The sequence below is a fragment of the Homo sapiens genome, chromosome 6 (assembly GCF_000001405.40).
Source record: "Homo sapiens chromosome 6, GRCh38.p14 Primary Assembly".
Classification (NCBI taxonomy): Eukaryota; Metazoa; Chordata; class Mammalia; order Primates; family Hominidae; genus Homo; species Homo sapiens.
Window position 1 is genome coordinate 33,889,511 of NC_000006.12, and position 14,956 is coordinate 33,904,466.

General features: G+C 51.6%; 3 long non-coding RNA genes and 1 other non-coding gene across 5 annotated transcripts in view; 2 read left to right on the top strand and 2 right to left on the bottom strand.

The window, feature by feature from the left end:
* LINC01016 (long intergenic non-protein coding RNA 1016) lies at positions 1-7,397 on the bottom strand. Its single transcript, NR_038989.1, has 3 exons — positions 7,309-7,397; positions 4,069-4,189; positions 1-2,941 (listed from the first exon to the last, which is right to left on the bottom strand). It is a non-coding gene; the product is annotated as a long intergenic non-protein coding RNA 1016 (long non-coding RNA).
* LOC105375026 (uncharacterized) overlaps positions 3,619-14,956 on the top strand; it is a 25,072-nt gene continuing 13,734 nt past the window's right edge. For both annotated transcript variants that reach the window (NR_187841.1, NR_187840.1), the window contains exon 1: positions 3,619-3,880. This is a non-coding gene — a long non-coding RNA (uncharacterized LOC105375026). The remainder of the gene's footprint in view (positions 3,881-14,956) is intronic.
* MIR7159 (microRNA 7159) lies at positions 9,625-9,690 on the top strand. Its single transcript, NR_106982.1, has one exon. It is a non-coding gene; the product is annotated as a microRNA 7159 (primary transcript).
* LOC107986590 (uncharacterized) overlaps positions 13,060-14,956 on the bottom strand; it is a 4,272-nt gene continuing 2,375 nt past the window's right edge. Inside the window, exon 2 of the long non-coding RNA XR_001744097.2 lies at positions 13,060-14,542. This is a non-coding gene — a long non-coding RNA (uncharacterized LOC107986590). The remainder of the gene's footprint in view (positions 14,543-14,956) is intronic.

Sequence of the window (14,956 nt, forward strand, 5' to 3'; positions counted from 1 at the left end):
TGAACTTGCAAATATACCATTTAATGTAAATGAAATGTTTAAAATAAAATTCAACGTAGTGTGTCAGGCACTGAGCCTGCTATAAGGAATAGAAAATAGAAGAGTCCCAGCTCCTGAGGGGCACATGGTTTAGTTGGGGTAGGGGGGTGGTGGTTGGACTATACTCAAATTCACTCAACACAAATCAGAGATTACACTAAACCAATGTTCCACTGGTCCAGATCCACTAATTCTTTCCCTGTACCTCACAGCACCAGACCTCTGTGCGAAACCCCCCGGTTCCTGAGCTTCCCTGTTGCACATGGCTTGCCCCCCAATGAAATCCACGGGGCCTTGTACTTAAAGTCCCAGACCACCCTAGTCTCTGCCTACCCTCCTCCAACCCACCACTCCTTTGTACGGCAGGCCTCAAGGATTCAGTCTTTCTCCTTTTCTTTGGGAGAGATCTGGGCTCCCCTCCTGTCCCCTGCTTCCTTGCTGTTTTAAGGCTTTTAACTGCAGAAAAATTAAAGAGTCAACCAAAGTAGAAACATCTAGAAATGACAAGATGCTGTTTTTCATATGAAGAGGATGGCTGGCCAAAAAAGCAAGCCTGCCCCTATGGGGAAGACTTCCTGCCCGCCTTCCCTGCAGGAGGCTGGCCCAGGGCTTTGAGGGGAATCATGGTGAACTACAAGTGCTCCCTGCTTTCTGATGCCCCCCTAGTGGGGCCAAGGCCCTCCCTGCTCTTGGGGCCTTGACACCCCTACTCTCCCAAGCCTGGTGATCCAGTACTGATGCTTGGTGAGCCCGCCAACAGCGCTGCTGCCCCTTCCCTTGAGGACTAAGCTCCGATTTTTTATCTTGCCCAGATTCCTATCTAAGGGGTCTGGGGAGTCATGCCCTACCAACCATACATTCTCATCAGACGGATTTTATCTGACCCTGTATATCATGACTGACTTTCCAATCTGACTGTGGCATAACAAGGAAGAAAATCAAAATGTTTTACCCCAAAATAAATCTCCTTGCCATATCTCGAAATTGTCCTGCAAAGTCTCTTGTGGGAAAAATCCATATTCTATAGGAAATATTTCCTTTCCCCTTTGTTTTCCTTCCTTCCTTCCCAGATCCAGGAGATAATCAACTAAGAGCCAGGTACCCTTTTAGGTCCGATAAGAAACATTTTACAACCTGCTCTCTCTCTCTCTGAAGTCTGCTATCTGAGAGATTCCTCTGCACAATAAAACTTGGTCCCCACAGTTCTGTATCTTAACATGAACCTTCCTTTCCATTAATCCCAGGTCTCCAGATAAACCCAACCAATTGTCAGTCAGAAAATGTTTAAATTTACCTATAGCCTGGAAGCCCCCACTTTGAGTTGTCTCACCTTTCTGAACCAAACCAATGTATTTTTAAAATGTCTTTGATTGAGTCTCATGCCTTCCTAAAACATATAAAACCAAGCTGTACCCCGACCACCTTGAACACATGTTCTCAGGGTCTCCTGAGGGCTGTGTCATGGGCCATGGTCACTCATATTTGGCTCAGAATAAATCTCTTCAAATATTTTACAGAGTTTGACTCTTTTAGTCAGCACCCTTTAATCACCAAGGCTTCCAAGCACACTCCCATTTGGGAACCATGCTGTAATGGGGCCCAGACCCTGTCTTCAGGTGATCTGAATTGGCGCTTCTGAGAAAGCAATTTGGGAGAATGATTTCCCCCCTCGAACCCAAGCCTTCCTTCTCTGGCTCCCTGGCTGAGGCCAAAGTATAGCCCAGACCTGCTTCCAGATCTATCCTCCTCCTGCAGTCGCTCCAGCCACTCCACCACTCCGCCAGGGCCAAACTGCACTTCTTCCAGCCTGATACCCTCTTTCCTGCTGGGCTCTACCGGTCTGTCTTCTGCGGTGAGCAACCCTCACCTAACTGTCACAGGCCAAGGGCATAGTTCACCACCTTGTTTTCTCTGTCAACAGCTCTTCCTTCAGACGATCACAATGCACATCTGTGTTTTAAACCTAAGGCCCTCTAATTTTTACTCTATTTCCAACCACTAATTAAAAATGGACTCCTCCTCTCTTCTTCCCTCTTTCTTAGTATATTCCCTTACAGTTTATCATGACGATCTGTGAGAATAATTGTCGTAGAGGGCTTTGGAGGGACCATTTCTGCATGTAGATGGACTGGGGCTGTCAGTGAAACCTGGATGGTTATAAGCTTTCTATTTTAATGAATTTATACGAGTACAAATATATCGCTTCAGAGCCACCTTTTGTTTGCCTCAAGAAATAGCCAATTCATGTTACATTTTTAAAAAGGTCTTCCACTATTAATTAAAAGGAATGATTTGGGGTGGGGTAGGGTGCGAGTGTGGCAGAGATTGGTTGTGACCACCTTCAGCTTATTAACTTCCACTTCCAGCAGGTTCCCAGGGGGGCCACCTATTAAAGACTGAGAGGACATTGCTTTTCCAAACCTCCTCTCTTTTTACTGCTCGGCTCATCTCCTCAGCTTGGGACCTCAGCGGGCAAGGGCAGAGTAGGAGGGAGGGCCCCGAGGGGTGGCGGACAGGCTGGTAGTCCAAGACGGTCTGGAATGGAATAGAATATGAAGAGAAATGCAGCCCACCCACTCCTTCGGGGAGAGGAGAGTGCTGGTGGAGAAACTCGGGGCCTGAATTTTTCTTGAGGAATCTAAGAAGATCCTTTGGCTTCAAGGCAGATGGAACCTGGATGGTTTAGGGGAGGAATGGGACTTGACAGCGGCGCTCAAAGCTTCTGGGCAGGGCTTTGATCTAATTGACAGAAGTGAAAATAGTAGACCTTGGCTCCTCTCTGCTCCCATCTCTCTCCTGCTCAAAGTCCTTGGTCAGGCACTGTTCGTTCCTTCCAGCCCAAAGACTTGGGAAAGTAATTTCTGCAGACCCCTCCAGAGCTGTTTCTGACCCCACAGACAATCTGGTGGGTGAAGAAACCTGAATTAGCGGAGACTTTCCACAATAGCCCTCAATCACTTCTCTTCAGCTCAGTTCCAGACCCTTTACAAAGTGCGTGAAGGCACCATTCCCCAAAGCGCAGAAAGAAGGCGCAGCCTGCCAGCAGGACAGGACATGTGAAATCAGGGACGTCTGGGGAAACCCTCTAAGGTGATCCTCGCCCCTGGCCTAGAAGTCTAGGGAGGCGGAGGTCCCCATACACCCACCTCGGGGGGTACCTCAGGAACAGAGTAACCGTCCCGCGGGGCCGGCTGGTGGAGTGGGGCCGTTCCTAACGGCTGCCTCCGTCCTGCCTCGCGGTCTAGGGAAGGGGTCTCGGCCACCTCCTCCCGCAGCCTTCCAAATCAAGATGGACTCGCAGGAGACTACACCCTGCGTCTGCAGAACCTCAGAATACAGAACCACCAGGGGTTCCTGGCCCATGGCCCTGGGAGGATTGCTGTTGGGGAGATGGGAAGGAATCTAGGGAGGCCGAGGCCCGCAACAACCATCCCCGAGGACCTCAGAGCACAGTCTTCCCCCCTCGGGGTTGGCAGGGGCAGCCTGGCGCGGGGTGGGGAGAGGGGCCGGGGCGGGGCCGGGGCGAGGGGGCGGGGCCGGGGCGTAGAGGGCCACCAGGTCCCTCCCCACACGCCCGCTGTCCACGCGCTGCGGCCTTGGAGTAACTGCTGTTCTTAAAGGCTGCCTCCGTCCTGCCGCGCGGCCTTTAGAGGGTTGGAGCTGGCAGAACCGTAACTCCCTCTCTGAGGGTGAATACGGGCCTTGATTGCCAGAAGGGCCCTCGGCCGGGGACGCGGGATGATGCGGGGCCGGGAGATGCTTTCCTGGAGGCTGAGAAACCTGGAGGGAGACCCCCAAAACTTCTCAGTTCGCCGACCCCTTGGTCCCAGAGGGAGAGGAGGTGGGCTGTGCCTCAGCAGGGTCGCAGGCATTGCAGGGGCATCACGTTAGTCAGAGCATGTTGGCATGGAGGCCACTCAGCCCAGGGAGGCAGGACTCACGCCCCAAATGGAAGGCACGCAGTCGTGCCTGCCTAGAGGCGTTAATATTGTGCCACACTTTGGGGGTGAGGATCTGGCAACTTTATACCTTTTTGAGTTGTCTTTTCAAGTCTGTAGGATCAGCCCACAGCTTGGTTCCTGTGAAGTGAGCTTGCTGTGACTGCTTCTTCAGGGACAACTGTGGTCATCTTGGGGAGATGCCTTGGGGTCTGTGGCAAGAGGCAAAAAGGAGAATGTGTGATACTCAGAATGCATTAAAGCGTGCTCTTACAGAGCAGAAGTCAGTGGCTGCTCACCAGAGAGGGGCCTGGGGGTTGAGAAAAGCAAAAAAATGGATGGGCTTCTATCAGATTTCAACACTGATGAACTCCAGTTGGGGGGCAGGTGCCAGCCAGGGCTATTAAATAATAACAGGAGGGGCTGCCATAGGATGACAGGATGGGGGAGGGTGGGGAGGGGAAGAGGAAGGGGACGTGCTCCAAGAAGGCACCCAGCACCAGTGGTCTCATTAGCTTTTTGCTATCAGTCCTCAACTACATTTGGGGGACAGTTCCTGACCAGGCAATCTGTCAGCAAAGGGGTGCTGCAATCTGTCAGCAAAGGGAAGAGGGGAAGTTTGGGGTCTTAACTGGCTCTCTACTAAGATACCCAGAGGAATGCCTTCATTTGCATAATAAACCAGAGGAAAATTTGAGTCTGCCCCTGAGTTCCAAAGGTTCTGGGTACCAGGGCTTGAATCCAGCAGTGTGACTATTCGTGCCTCAGTTTTTTCATCCTGAAATTTGGAAAGTCGTTCTTTCCATTGTGATATTCTCTAGCTAGAACCCAGAGAGGATAAGAAACTGCCTCATGGTAGCCTCCCAGGGGAGAAGGTTCTAGTAGGAGATGGCCTCAGAGCAAGGACTTCCAGCCTCCCATCCTCTGGTGGTCTGGGAGGATCACAGGATGTCAAGGCCTTGCTCCTGTGGCCTTGATTCAGATTAGCTGTGGTTCAAGACTGCCTGTGTGGCACATGTGGATACGTGCAAGGTCGCTGAGGCAGTGCTGTGCCCTTAAAGTTTATCTGCTTTTCCAACCCAAAAGCAGACTCCCTAAAGGGTAGGGAATGCCTCATTACTCACTGGGCCCTCCTGCAGCTCCTGGCATGGAACTGACACATAGTTGGCACTGGCAATGCACATACTTACTAGATGTTAAAGAAGTCCAGAACCAGAACCAGAGGCACATAAATAGGATCTGCATCAGCAGTGGGTTAGAGAAAGGGTGGGAAACTAAGTGAAATCTTAGAATGCATCCAAGGAAGTAGATCAATTTGAGCTTTAACTACTGGAGAATGGCCCCTGAGAAGGCCCCATTTGTTCACACGTATAGCTAATTGTATATACCTTTGAGGAATGCAAGAGCCGGCAGGAAATTCCCCTCCTCCTGAACCACAGAGTATTTCTGGGTGGGCATCGATTGTCTATGGGCCATGGCGTAAGACCCCCACCCCCCGACCCCCCGGCAACAAAAGTATCTTCTTGCTCCCTAAAAAAAAATGTATGGAGACTACATATCCTTGCCTGTCTAGTCAGCCTTGGTTAATTTCATAAAGTAAAGGGGCCCTGAGCCTGCCTGCCCGGCCGAGTTTAGAGTTGAAAGGGAAACGTCTTTGAGGTGGAAACCAATTGCATGGATCAAATGGTCCTGATGGTGCATAGAGCCTTAGGTTTGGAAAGAAGTGAAGGGCCTTGCCGCCTTGCTGGGGACTTGAGCCTCTCAGCCATTGGTGCTCTCTGGAGCTGCCCGCCCACCAGGGGCAATGGCCCTTGTTGGCCTCCAGGCCCCCTCCTTCCCTGGATGCTGTGCTGTTCTCCTCTTGGTCTTGTTTCATTGGCTGTGGCAGAAACTTTGGTCCCAACAAGGCCCAGGAAACAGACCCTAGCAAAGACCTGAGGCAACTGGGTGCCCCAGGACCACAGGAACTCATGTGTGCTGTGAGGGCTTTAAGAGCTTTGAAGTGGGGAGTCTCTGACGTGGATCAGGGCTATGGGTGCTGATGCTGTCAATAAGCCACACGCAAAGGTTGGGTCAATATGACTGCTTCTCAGACCCTCTTCGGAGGCAGACTCTCCCTCACCTGCCTGGCCAAATTCCCTCTGGGCAGAAGGACCCTAGGGAGCTTTTCCTGGCCCATGTGGCAGAGGCCCAGGCTCCCACTCAGACAATGACCCCTTGCTTTGCCCACTGAAAGAAGTCCCCAGAAGATGAGCTCTGTTACAAGCAGAACAGAAAAGAAACAGTGGGATTAGGGCTCCAAAAACCCTCCAGAACTATCAGAGAATTCTGGACAGTGGTCCCTGATGGCATCTGTGTTAGGGGCTGGGAACAAGAACCCCTCTCACAGGCACCTCTACAGGCGGGGTTAAGACTGTCAAATACTGGCCGAGGCCAAGGGAGACTCTGTCATGTCTGAGGCCATAGGCATGTTTTCTTCTGGACTTCAGCGAGAGGCAGAGCCCCCAGCCCCATGCAGTCACCTCAGCTCTGCCTGAGAAGAAGCGAGGGAAGCCCATTCCTCCCCATCAGTTGGCCTCTGGGGAGGCAAAGTCAAGTATGTGATGGTTCCTTACCTGTGCAGGGAAAATGGAACTTGGGAGTCAGCTGTCTGAAGGCATCACGCCTTGTATGACCCTTGCAAGCCCAAGCTACCTACCTGTTCCTGTACAGAAACCCTCCCTGGCCTCATCCTGTGGGTGGCAAACCCACATATTCAGTTATTGCTGTTTTCTTCCTTCCTTGGATACTTGTCTCCAATAAATATTTACAGTGGGACCCACAGATGAACCTTAGCCCCAAACATAAGATAGCTATGTCAAAAGGGGTCCTGGGACAGTGATACCCCAGGGGGGTCAGGCAAAAACAGAAGCAAGCCTCTTGGCCACCTCCTCCCTTAGCCTTCTGCGTAAAGATGGACTTGCAGGAGGAGAACACACCCTGCAACTACAGAACCTCATGGTACGGAACCACCAGGGGATCCTCGCCCACGGCCCTGGGTGGAATTGATGTTGGGAAGATAGATTAGTAGTGAGGCGCATCACCCCACTGTGACTCACCTTCTTCTGCCCCCACGCCTGTCCTTCAGACCATCTCCCTGCTGCGGCAGAGCCACTGAGTTCAGGGAGCAACTGTGGGCAGATGAAATTGGGCTGTGGTGGGTGTGGGAATCCCTGTGGACTTCCAAAAGCACTTCGGTTTCTGCCCTGCTTGGCGTGGTTCCAGAACCCAGGGTGGTGGCGAGGTGGGAGCTGGCAGAGCGCAGGGAAGAAGTTCCAGGATCAGAGCTCACCTTTCTGTTCTTCACCCTGATCTGTTCTTCCCTGATCAGTCCTCCCAGACTGCACTGGAGAGTGAGGCCTTTGCCTGTTCGGATTTGCTGCCTCGTGTGTTTCAAGCTGCCCACACTTCACAGGCTGCTTCGAAGCCCTCCCTACCCACCCCGTGAGAAACGCCCCTGGGGAGAGGCAGAGATGGGTCTTTTAGTCTTGCAGCCCTTGTTTGTTTAAAATGTCAGGCTGACTTCTTCTCAATCCCAGAAATATTTTACTGGCATGGCTTCAGCAAACATGACTCAAAGCCTAGAAGGACATGGCCAGATCTCACTGAGTGACCATTTAGTCCAACCTGAGGACTGATGTTAGGAGGAAAAATTCTTTCTCCAGGTCAAATTAGACTTCTGCAGATCAAATAGGATACCAAGAGAAGGAGGCACTTTGGCCAGGATGGGGAGGGGCTAAAGAGCAGGAAACAAGCTTGGGGCGAGCTGGAAATATGTGTAACACAGGCTTGTAGGAGCACAGGCTTCCAGTGGCAGGGAAATCTCCAATTGGGTGTGTAGTAAAGACTTAAACCTGTTAAAATAAATTGATTAGCCAAAGATCTCTGCTCAGTGCTCTTTAAACTCTAACATCTGTTCCCAGTAAATAATTCACATAGCAGATATTAACTAGGAGGCTTAAAAGGAGGAGATGGCAGCTTAAAACATGCACTGAGATGCCTCTTTGCCTAAGAAATGCACACCCAAACCCACACCCAGGTGTTAAGGAAAAAGTGCTGATGGTGCTGCTTCCTCCCTCTGTCCCTTGTTCCAGGCTGCACACCTGGTCCTACCCCTGTCCCTAGTAGGCTGGCATCTTCACAGCTCCTTCCTCCCACCCCAGGACAAGGGCCCCTGGAACACTGGCCCGCAGCCACAATAAGGGTGTCCATGGATTCCTAGGACTACAAGTGGTGGAAGGCAGCCCCTTCTCCAACCCTCCCTGTCACACATACACCCTCCCCTGCAGCAGGCAGACAGCTCTTGTTTGCTGAGGCTCTGCTGGAGTCCTCCTTACCTGTCCCTCACCAAGGGACAGATGCACCTCCGATAATGGGCAGAAGTTGGGTGTCAGTGATGGGAAGATTCTAGACCACTCCCTAGGAGATAGCCCCTTCTCTTCCCTTAAGCATCTCCCTCCCGACTTGGTTTTCTGGATATTCCAAGAATATCCTTTTCCTTGCCTCCTTTGCTCAGCAGTTTCCTGCGGAGTTCCAGTGTCTTCAGCAGATCACCATTGCTTTCAACTTTGGAAGGAGCAGGCCTTCTGGGGACACCCAAGACATTCCTGGGCAGAGTAGGTGGCTAGCTTCTCCAGGTAGGGCAGCCCAGCTCCTGTCTGCATGGAGTTGGAGCTGCCACCACCAGGCCTGGTCAGGGGCCCAGGGTAAAGCTAGTTCATACTGTCTTTTCTGGGTGAATAGTTCGAGCTCACTGAGACTACCTGGGAATTGAGAAGATGCACAGGAAAAGTACTTTATACCCTCGGATGTCTACTCTCTATCAAACATTGCAAGAGTTTTGTAAGGACAGGGTGGCCTGGCTCCACACTCACTGGCAGGTGCTGCCCTCAAGGGGCTGCTCCTCCTTTCAGGTAGAAGAGGGTTTCTCAGGTTCTGCTGGTGAACCAAGGTCGCTGAGTACCATCTTCATTGGCACTGTAGCCCGTTTGACCCAAGGCTAGAATCCAGCCCGGGCGGGGACAATGCTTTCTGGCTGGCACCCAAAGCAACAGGTGGGAGAGCTCTGGTGGGAGTCATGTGTCTGCCCAGGTGAAAAGATTCCAGAAATTACCCACACATCATTTTCTCCGTGAATTACCTGAGCATTAATTCCTGAAAGCTTTGATCTCCAAAAGGGCCTGGCTTGATTCTTTCAGAATCTCTCAGTGCTATGTTATTGCAATAGCCATTTTCCTTCTGATCAGAGGTCATTGGAATAGAACAGAACTGTATGGAGTTCTCTTGGATTGAGAAGTGGAAGAGTCACTGTGCACTCTCTTATTCCACACTTTCAGAGCCAAAATCCAGAAAGAAGGGGCAGTAACCCTCATAGGTACTTCACTCCTGGGAAACCCCCTCTTCACTAGAGGTTGAGTCAGAGACCTAGTGAGTTCCTTGGACTCCCGCAGGCAGGGCTTAGTGGTTGGTGATCAGTGCGGATGGGCAGGAGGGTGGACTAAGCAGAGTCACAGTGGGCTTACTAATCTGTGCAGGGCTGCTGTGGCATGGGGGTAGAAGCTAGCTGGCTTCATTTTTGAAGAACTTTTAAGTCCATGAGACTCCGGCTTTCAACAAGGGTGTAGGATGGCCAGGGAAGTATGCCGGGCCTTGGCATTTCTATGTTAGTTGGAAGGATCAGGCTCGAGGCATCTAAACACAGACTTGGGCAGGTGCTGTGAAGAGAAGGACCATCTAACATTAGAAACTTCAGTGGAGGTGGTGAAGGATATGCAGTCTCCTTGGGGATAGAGGACAGAACTTCTTTCCTAGGGCGGAAAGGAGGGGGTCCCTTGGCTGGAGGGCAATGTGGCCTCTCTGGGCAGAGTGGGTTGTCCTTGGCTGGAAGGAAGGCTGAGGGGTAGCTGGGATGGGGCTCCAGACTCGGTCACATGTCCTGTCATTTAGAATGGCAGCTGTGGAAACCTCCATCTGACCAGTATTTGGAGAGACTTTAGATGGATGATGGGCTCAGTGGCCGATGGCCAAGTTAAGTGGCTCTCTTATCCACAGGGATCAGCATTTCTTAGCCTCTATTGAGAGGTGCCCTTACTCCAAGAGCAGAACACATGAAGTGAATGAGAAACTAGAACCCTTCCCCATGCATCCAGCAAGAAAGCATTGCCTGACACACATTCCCGGACATGGTGGGGGCATGCCTCTGGAAGCCAGAGGTGGGCTTAGCTAGGCAAGTGTGGATTGGTCAAAAGCCAAACTGTCCTGACCCTTGCCTGTCCCCCTTGCTGCGACCCAGAGGCTTACTTTCTCTCTCCAGTTACTGGTAGGAGGCATCTGAGTGTCCAGCTAAGGGTAAGCATGGCATCTGCAAAGGCAGAGTGTAGGGCTATAACCATGTAATCAGTGAGAGAGGGGGTAAAGGCCTCTGCATCCTGCTTCTTCTCCATCAGTGCATGCTGAACCCAAGGTCTCCTGGTCTCAGAGGGGCCAGTGCCGGGAGTGAGTGCTTTCCTGTTGTTATTTCTAGATTGGCTAGAAATGCAGGCAGGGCCAAGAGCACGTGTCTCATAAATACACGTTCCTCTCCCCCACCGCCTACCGTCCTACCCCGGGCTTCCCAGACCTCTTCTCAAGGCCTCTATGAAGTGCCTCACGGCCCTCTGGCCCAGGCCTGCTGTAGCAACATGGAGAGCTCTTCATCGTCTGCTTCATCTGATCAAACCCTGCCCTCTGTTCAGGTCTCAGTTCCAATGCCATTCCCTGGATAACACGTTTCCTTCAGGCAAGGCAGCTGCCAGGGACATGTCTGTGAGCCACTCCCTCATAGCACCCAGCACAATTTGAAACCCAACATTGATTTGTGTGATTATTTGATTAATGTCTCCCTCGCCTCCAAGACAGACCTCACCTAATTGAGCTGAACATCTTTCCCGGCCTCTGGCACTTAATAGGTACTCAATAAATATTTGTAGAATGCATGAATGCCAGGGTCGATGTGAGTTCTCTCCTTTTCCGCACACTCACCTGTGTAGCCCTCGTTCATTGGGCAGTTGGTTTGGATGACTTGGCTGCCCTGTACCACGAGGCGAGGTGGCCCAGGGAGAGAAGAGGGATGAGGCGCAGAGGGAGTGGGAGGCCCGTCTGACTGTCATGGGCATAAAGGTGACGGGGGAGGAAACCCAGAGAAACTTACAGAACAACAGTGAAGGGCTGGCAGAGGAAGATGGCCCAGTATCGGGGGAGGGGGAGTGAGAGGAGGTTCGAGAAGAAGACCAAAGGAGTAACGTAACGAGAAATGTCTGTGCCATTGCTGGGGGCTGGGGGCAGAGTTGGAAGGGGCGGGCAGGGCTGTTGCTGCAGATGCCACGAGGGAAACGTTATTGGGTGCTGGCCCAGGTGTGGGCAGAGGCACCCTCGAGGGCTGAGGTAAAGTGCACACCCAGCATAAAGAAAAGGGAACCGAGGGTTTTAAAGCTGGTGCAGCCTTTCTGGAGGGCCATCTAACAAAAAATATTTAAATAGAAATAAAAAGCAGAGCCATTTTTGAGACTCTCTCCAACAGAAATAATACAGAACGCCATGAGGATAAGCATAAAGGGATAGTTGTGGCAGCCTGGCAGTGTTTAAAAACACGGGGAACAACCTGAGTGCCTGCTAAATGGGGAGCCCTTACACTCATGGCACATCCACAGAATGGGGTGCAGTGCAGTCTCACAGAGTGTGGCTGGGCATGTACACTGATCTGATGTGGAACCATGTTGGTACATGGCTTGAAATGAAGCAAGCTGCAGAATAATATGTGTACTGGGATCTCATATATGTTTTTGAAACCAACTCCTACTTATGTGCATAAAACTACATTATGTTTGCGTGTAGTAAACTCTGGAAGGACACATGCTCCACCTTTAACACCATTCAGGGCAGGGTGAGAGGAACTCACACATTTGACTCTTCAGTGTTCTTGAAATAAACATGGATTTCTTCTGTAATAAAAAGGAAAAGGAAAGGTTGTAGGATGTGGCAACGAAGAGGGGACTGAGTCTCTGGGGGATGAGACCCATGAGCTGGTGGGAGAGGAGGCCAATTATGCCAGATGAAATGGACAGGAAGGGTGGGCGGGCCTTCCATAGATTGGGAAGATCCTCCAGATAATTCTGATAAATGGCAATTTTGAAAGAGGACGCTAGCTTAAGGAAGGGGGGTAGTGGAGGGAAGGTTTAAATCTAATGGGAGGTAGGCTGTCGGGGAGGGAGGTGAGGGCAGAAGGAACTTAACATAAATCTGGGGAGAGGGATACTTGGCTGCAGGGCCAGCCTGGGGTAAGCAGAAAGGCTGGCATGTCCCAAAGCCCAGGGAAAGGCATAACCCTACAAAAGGGCAAGGAGCACATTGGAGGTAATGGGAGACATGGACAGATGACGTGAGGCTGGAGGGCTAGGGGGGAGTTCACAATTGATGGCCGAGGTGTTTATCAGTGAACTAAGAGTGGATGTTGTCAACTGATAGGGACGAGAGTTTGAGGGTAATGATAAACTCTGGGAATTGGGGGAAAAGGGCCAGCATGAATTAGCAAAACTGACTGGTAGGCAGCAGCAGAGGGGGCCCTGCCCTGCTGAGCTGTGAACTATACATTTGTGATGGAAGAAACTGGTAGTTATGCATTTTTCTCTTAGCAGAGCTACAGTATAAGGCTTGAGAAAATGAAAGGTTCCACTGTTCCAAGGCTGGAGACCAGCAAGGCAAGCCCAGCATAAAGAAAAGGGAACCAAGGGTTTTAAACAGATTGACCATGAGGTAGAGAAAAACATGATATGTAACCGAAGGGCTTCAAGTTGGGATGAGCAGCCATAACATGTTTCCAGAGAAGGGAGTGGTGGGAAGCCAAGGCGGGGGATCCACAGGTAATGCTGGGTTCAAGGTTTGGCTGTGGGGATGGGTTGCAGAAGTGGAGATGAGCAACAAGTCCCCTTGGGGGTTGATACAATTGTTTAGGCTGAGCCGTATGGGGCAGAGATAAAACTGGTGAGTCTGAGGCCAGAGCTCTCCATTCATTCATTCATTCAACAAATATTTATTGAGCATCTACTATGTGCTAGGCATTCTTCTAATAAGCTCCTGTGGGGATGTAAATGTGGAAGTACATCGGGTTGTTGATAGATGAAGATGGGAAGGAGATGGTCATGTGGCATGAGAGGGCTCCAAGAGGAAGAGGAAGCATCACCAAGAGGAATTAGAATGGTCAGGAGCGGGAGGAAAGAAGCCAGTAAGGCACAGTCCTGGAGGCCTTGCCTGAGGGAAGATAGAAAAGAGAAGAGCCTTACTGTAAATTTCAGAAGACTTGGAAGAGGAGCCACCCTCAGGGAAAGACAGGTTTTGGATAAGGGGAAGAGACGCCAGGAAGCGAGTGTCTGCGGCTTCCTCATGCAACGTGGCCTGCCTTCCCAATCCCCTCTGGGCTCACAGGCTGCTACCCAGCCAAGGGGAAGGGCAGGGTAAAGAGCAGGGGACATCTGTCCTCAGATATCACAAGGCTCTATCCCCAGGATTATGGCACTCTCCTTTGTGACCAGCTCTGGATTTTGGCCCTCGCCCACTGAATGCAAGTACAGAGAAACAAGAAGGCTAAAGAGGAACGGGTGGAGCAGATACAGTGCCAAGAGACAGGGTTCCGTGAGGAGCCAGACATGGTGAACACAGAGGAGCAGAAGCCCCAGGACATTTCTGAGGGAAGAGGTAGATGAACACAGTGGCAGGGCTGGAAGACAGTCATACCCCGAGGAAAATGTGACCCCCAAAGAAGTCAGGGCTACTGCAGGGCAATCACTAGACACATCTGGTTCCACCAAGTCTTAGGGGATCCCGTTAGACGGCAGCAGTCCCTCTGATGGCTTCTTCCTGTCGTTGGGCCACTCTGAGGCATGAGAAAGAAGAGGTCCGGGGGGCAATGGTGGGTCAGTGGTGCAGAAGAGCCTGGGTGGAGGTGGGCGGTGATGGCCTGGGCTCGCTCTGTGGCTCTCAGGGAGGCTGCCTTTCCTTCCACCTCGACACACCGGCCCTCTCCCACATTTTACTTTTCAGATGGAGGCTCCACTTTTTAGTGTCAGCTGCTTTTTCACCGGTCCCGTTCCCTCTACCACCAACCTTGTCATTTGACTTGAGTATCCTGGTCTTCGTCATTTGGCTTGACTATTCTGGTCTTCATTCCCTGTCCCTTGAGGTGTGGGTGTGGCAGGTCCCCTATGCACTCATGTCCATCAGCATGACAATTGCAATCAAGTTCTGCTTTTTAGGTTCCAAAGGAAGCTGGAGATGACCTAGAGCCTTTGGCTTCTCCGCCTAACATCCGCTTGGGCAGGTGGGCTGCTCTGAGTCTGGAATGGTCTTTTTGGAATGGCTAGAGGCAGGAGCCATTTGTGGGGGTGTGGAAAGTCACTGGTGGAAATATTTTCCTCCTTTTGTCCTGGAAAGCCTTTGGGATGCCCTCAGGGCTGGGTGAAAGCCAGCCAGAAGGTGATGGGGTGTTGCCCTTTCTTCTCCCAGCAGGGAAGGGGAGAGAAGGAGAACACGAAGTGAGGCATGGGAATGAGACAATGGTGGGAAAAGAGGACGCTGGAAGGAAGATCTACTCTTCCAGTCTGCAGGTGGCCCCCGAGGAGCCGCAGTAGGTCATGGTAGGGGAGAATTACAGGCGGGGAAAGTGCAAAGCTGCTTAGAAGAGGGTCCAGGGTGGAAGGGTGGAAAGCAGAAAGTCCTGGAAGTGGATCTGCTTCCAAGGTCGGGAGTGGGAACGTGGACGTGTGCTCACCTCACCTGCAGTTAAACTCCAAGGGGCTCCTTTGAGGAGAAAGAGGGGACACCGTTGCGGAGAATAGGGCTCCTTCCTTTTTCCTCCCCACCTCCCCACTGCGCAAATGCTGGAGGTTTGAGCAGTTAGGGTTCTCAGA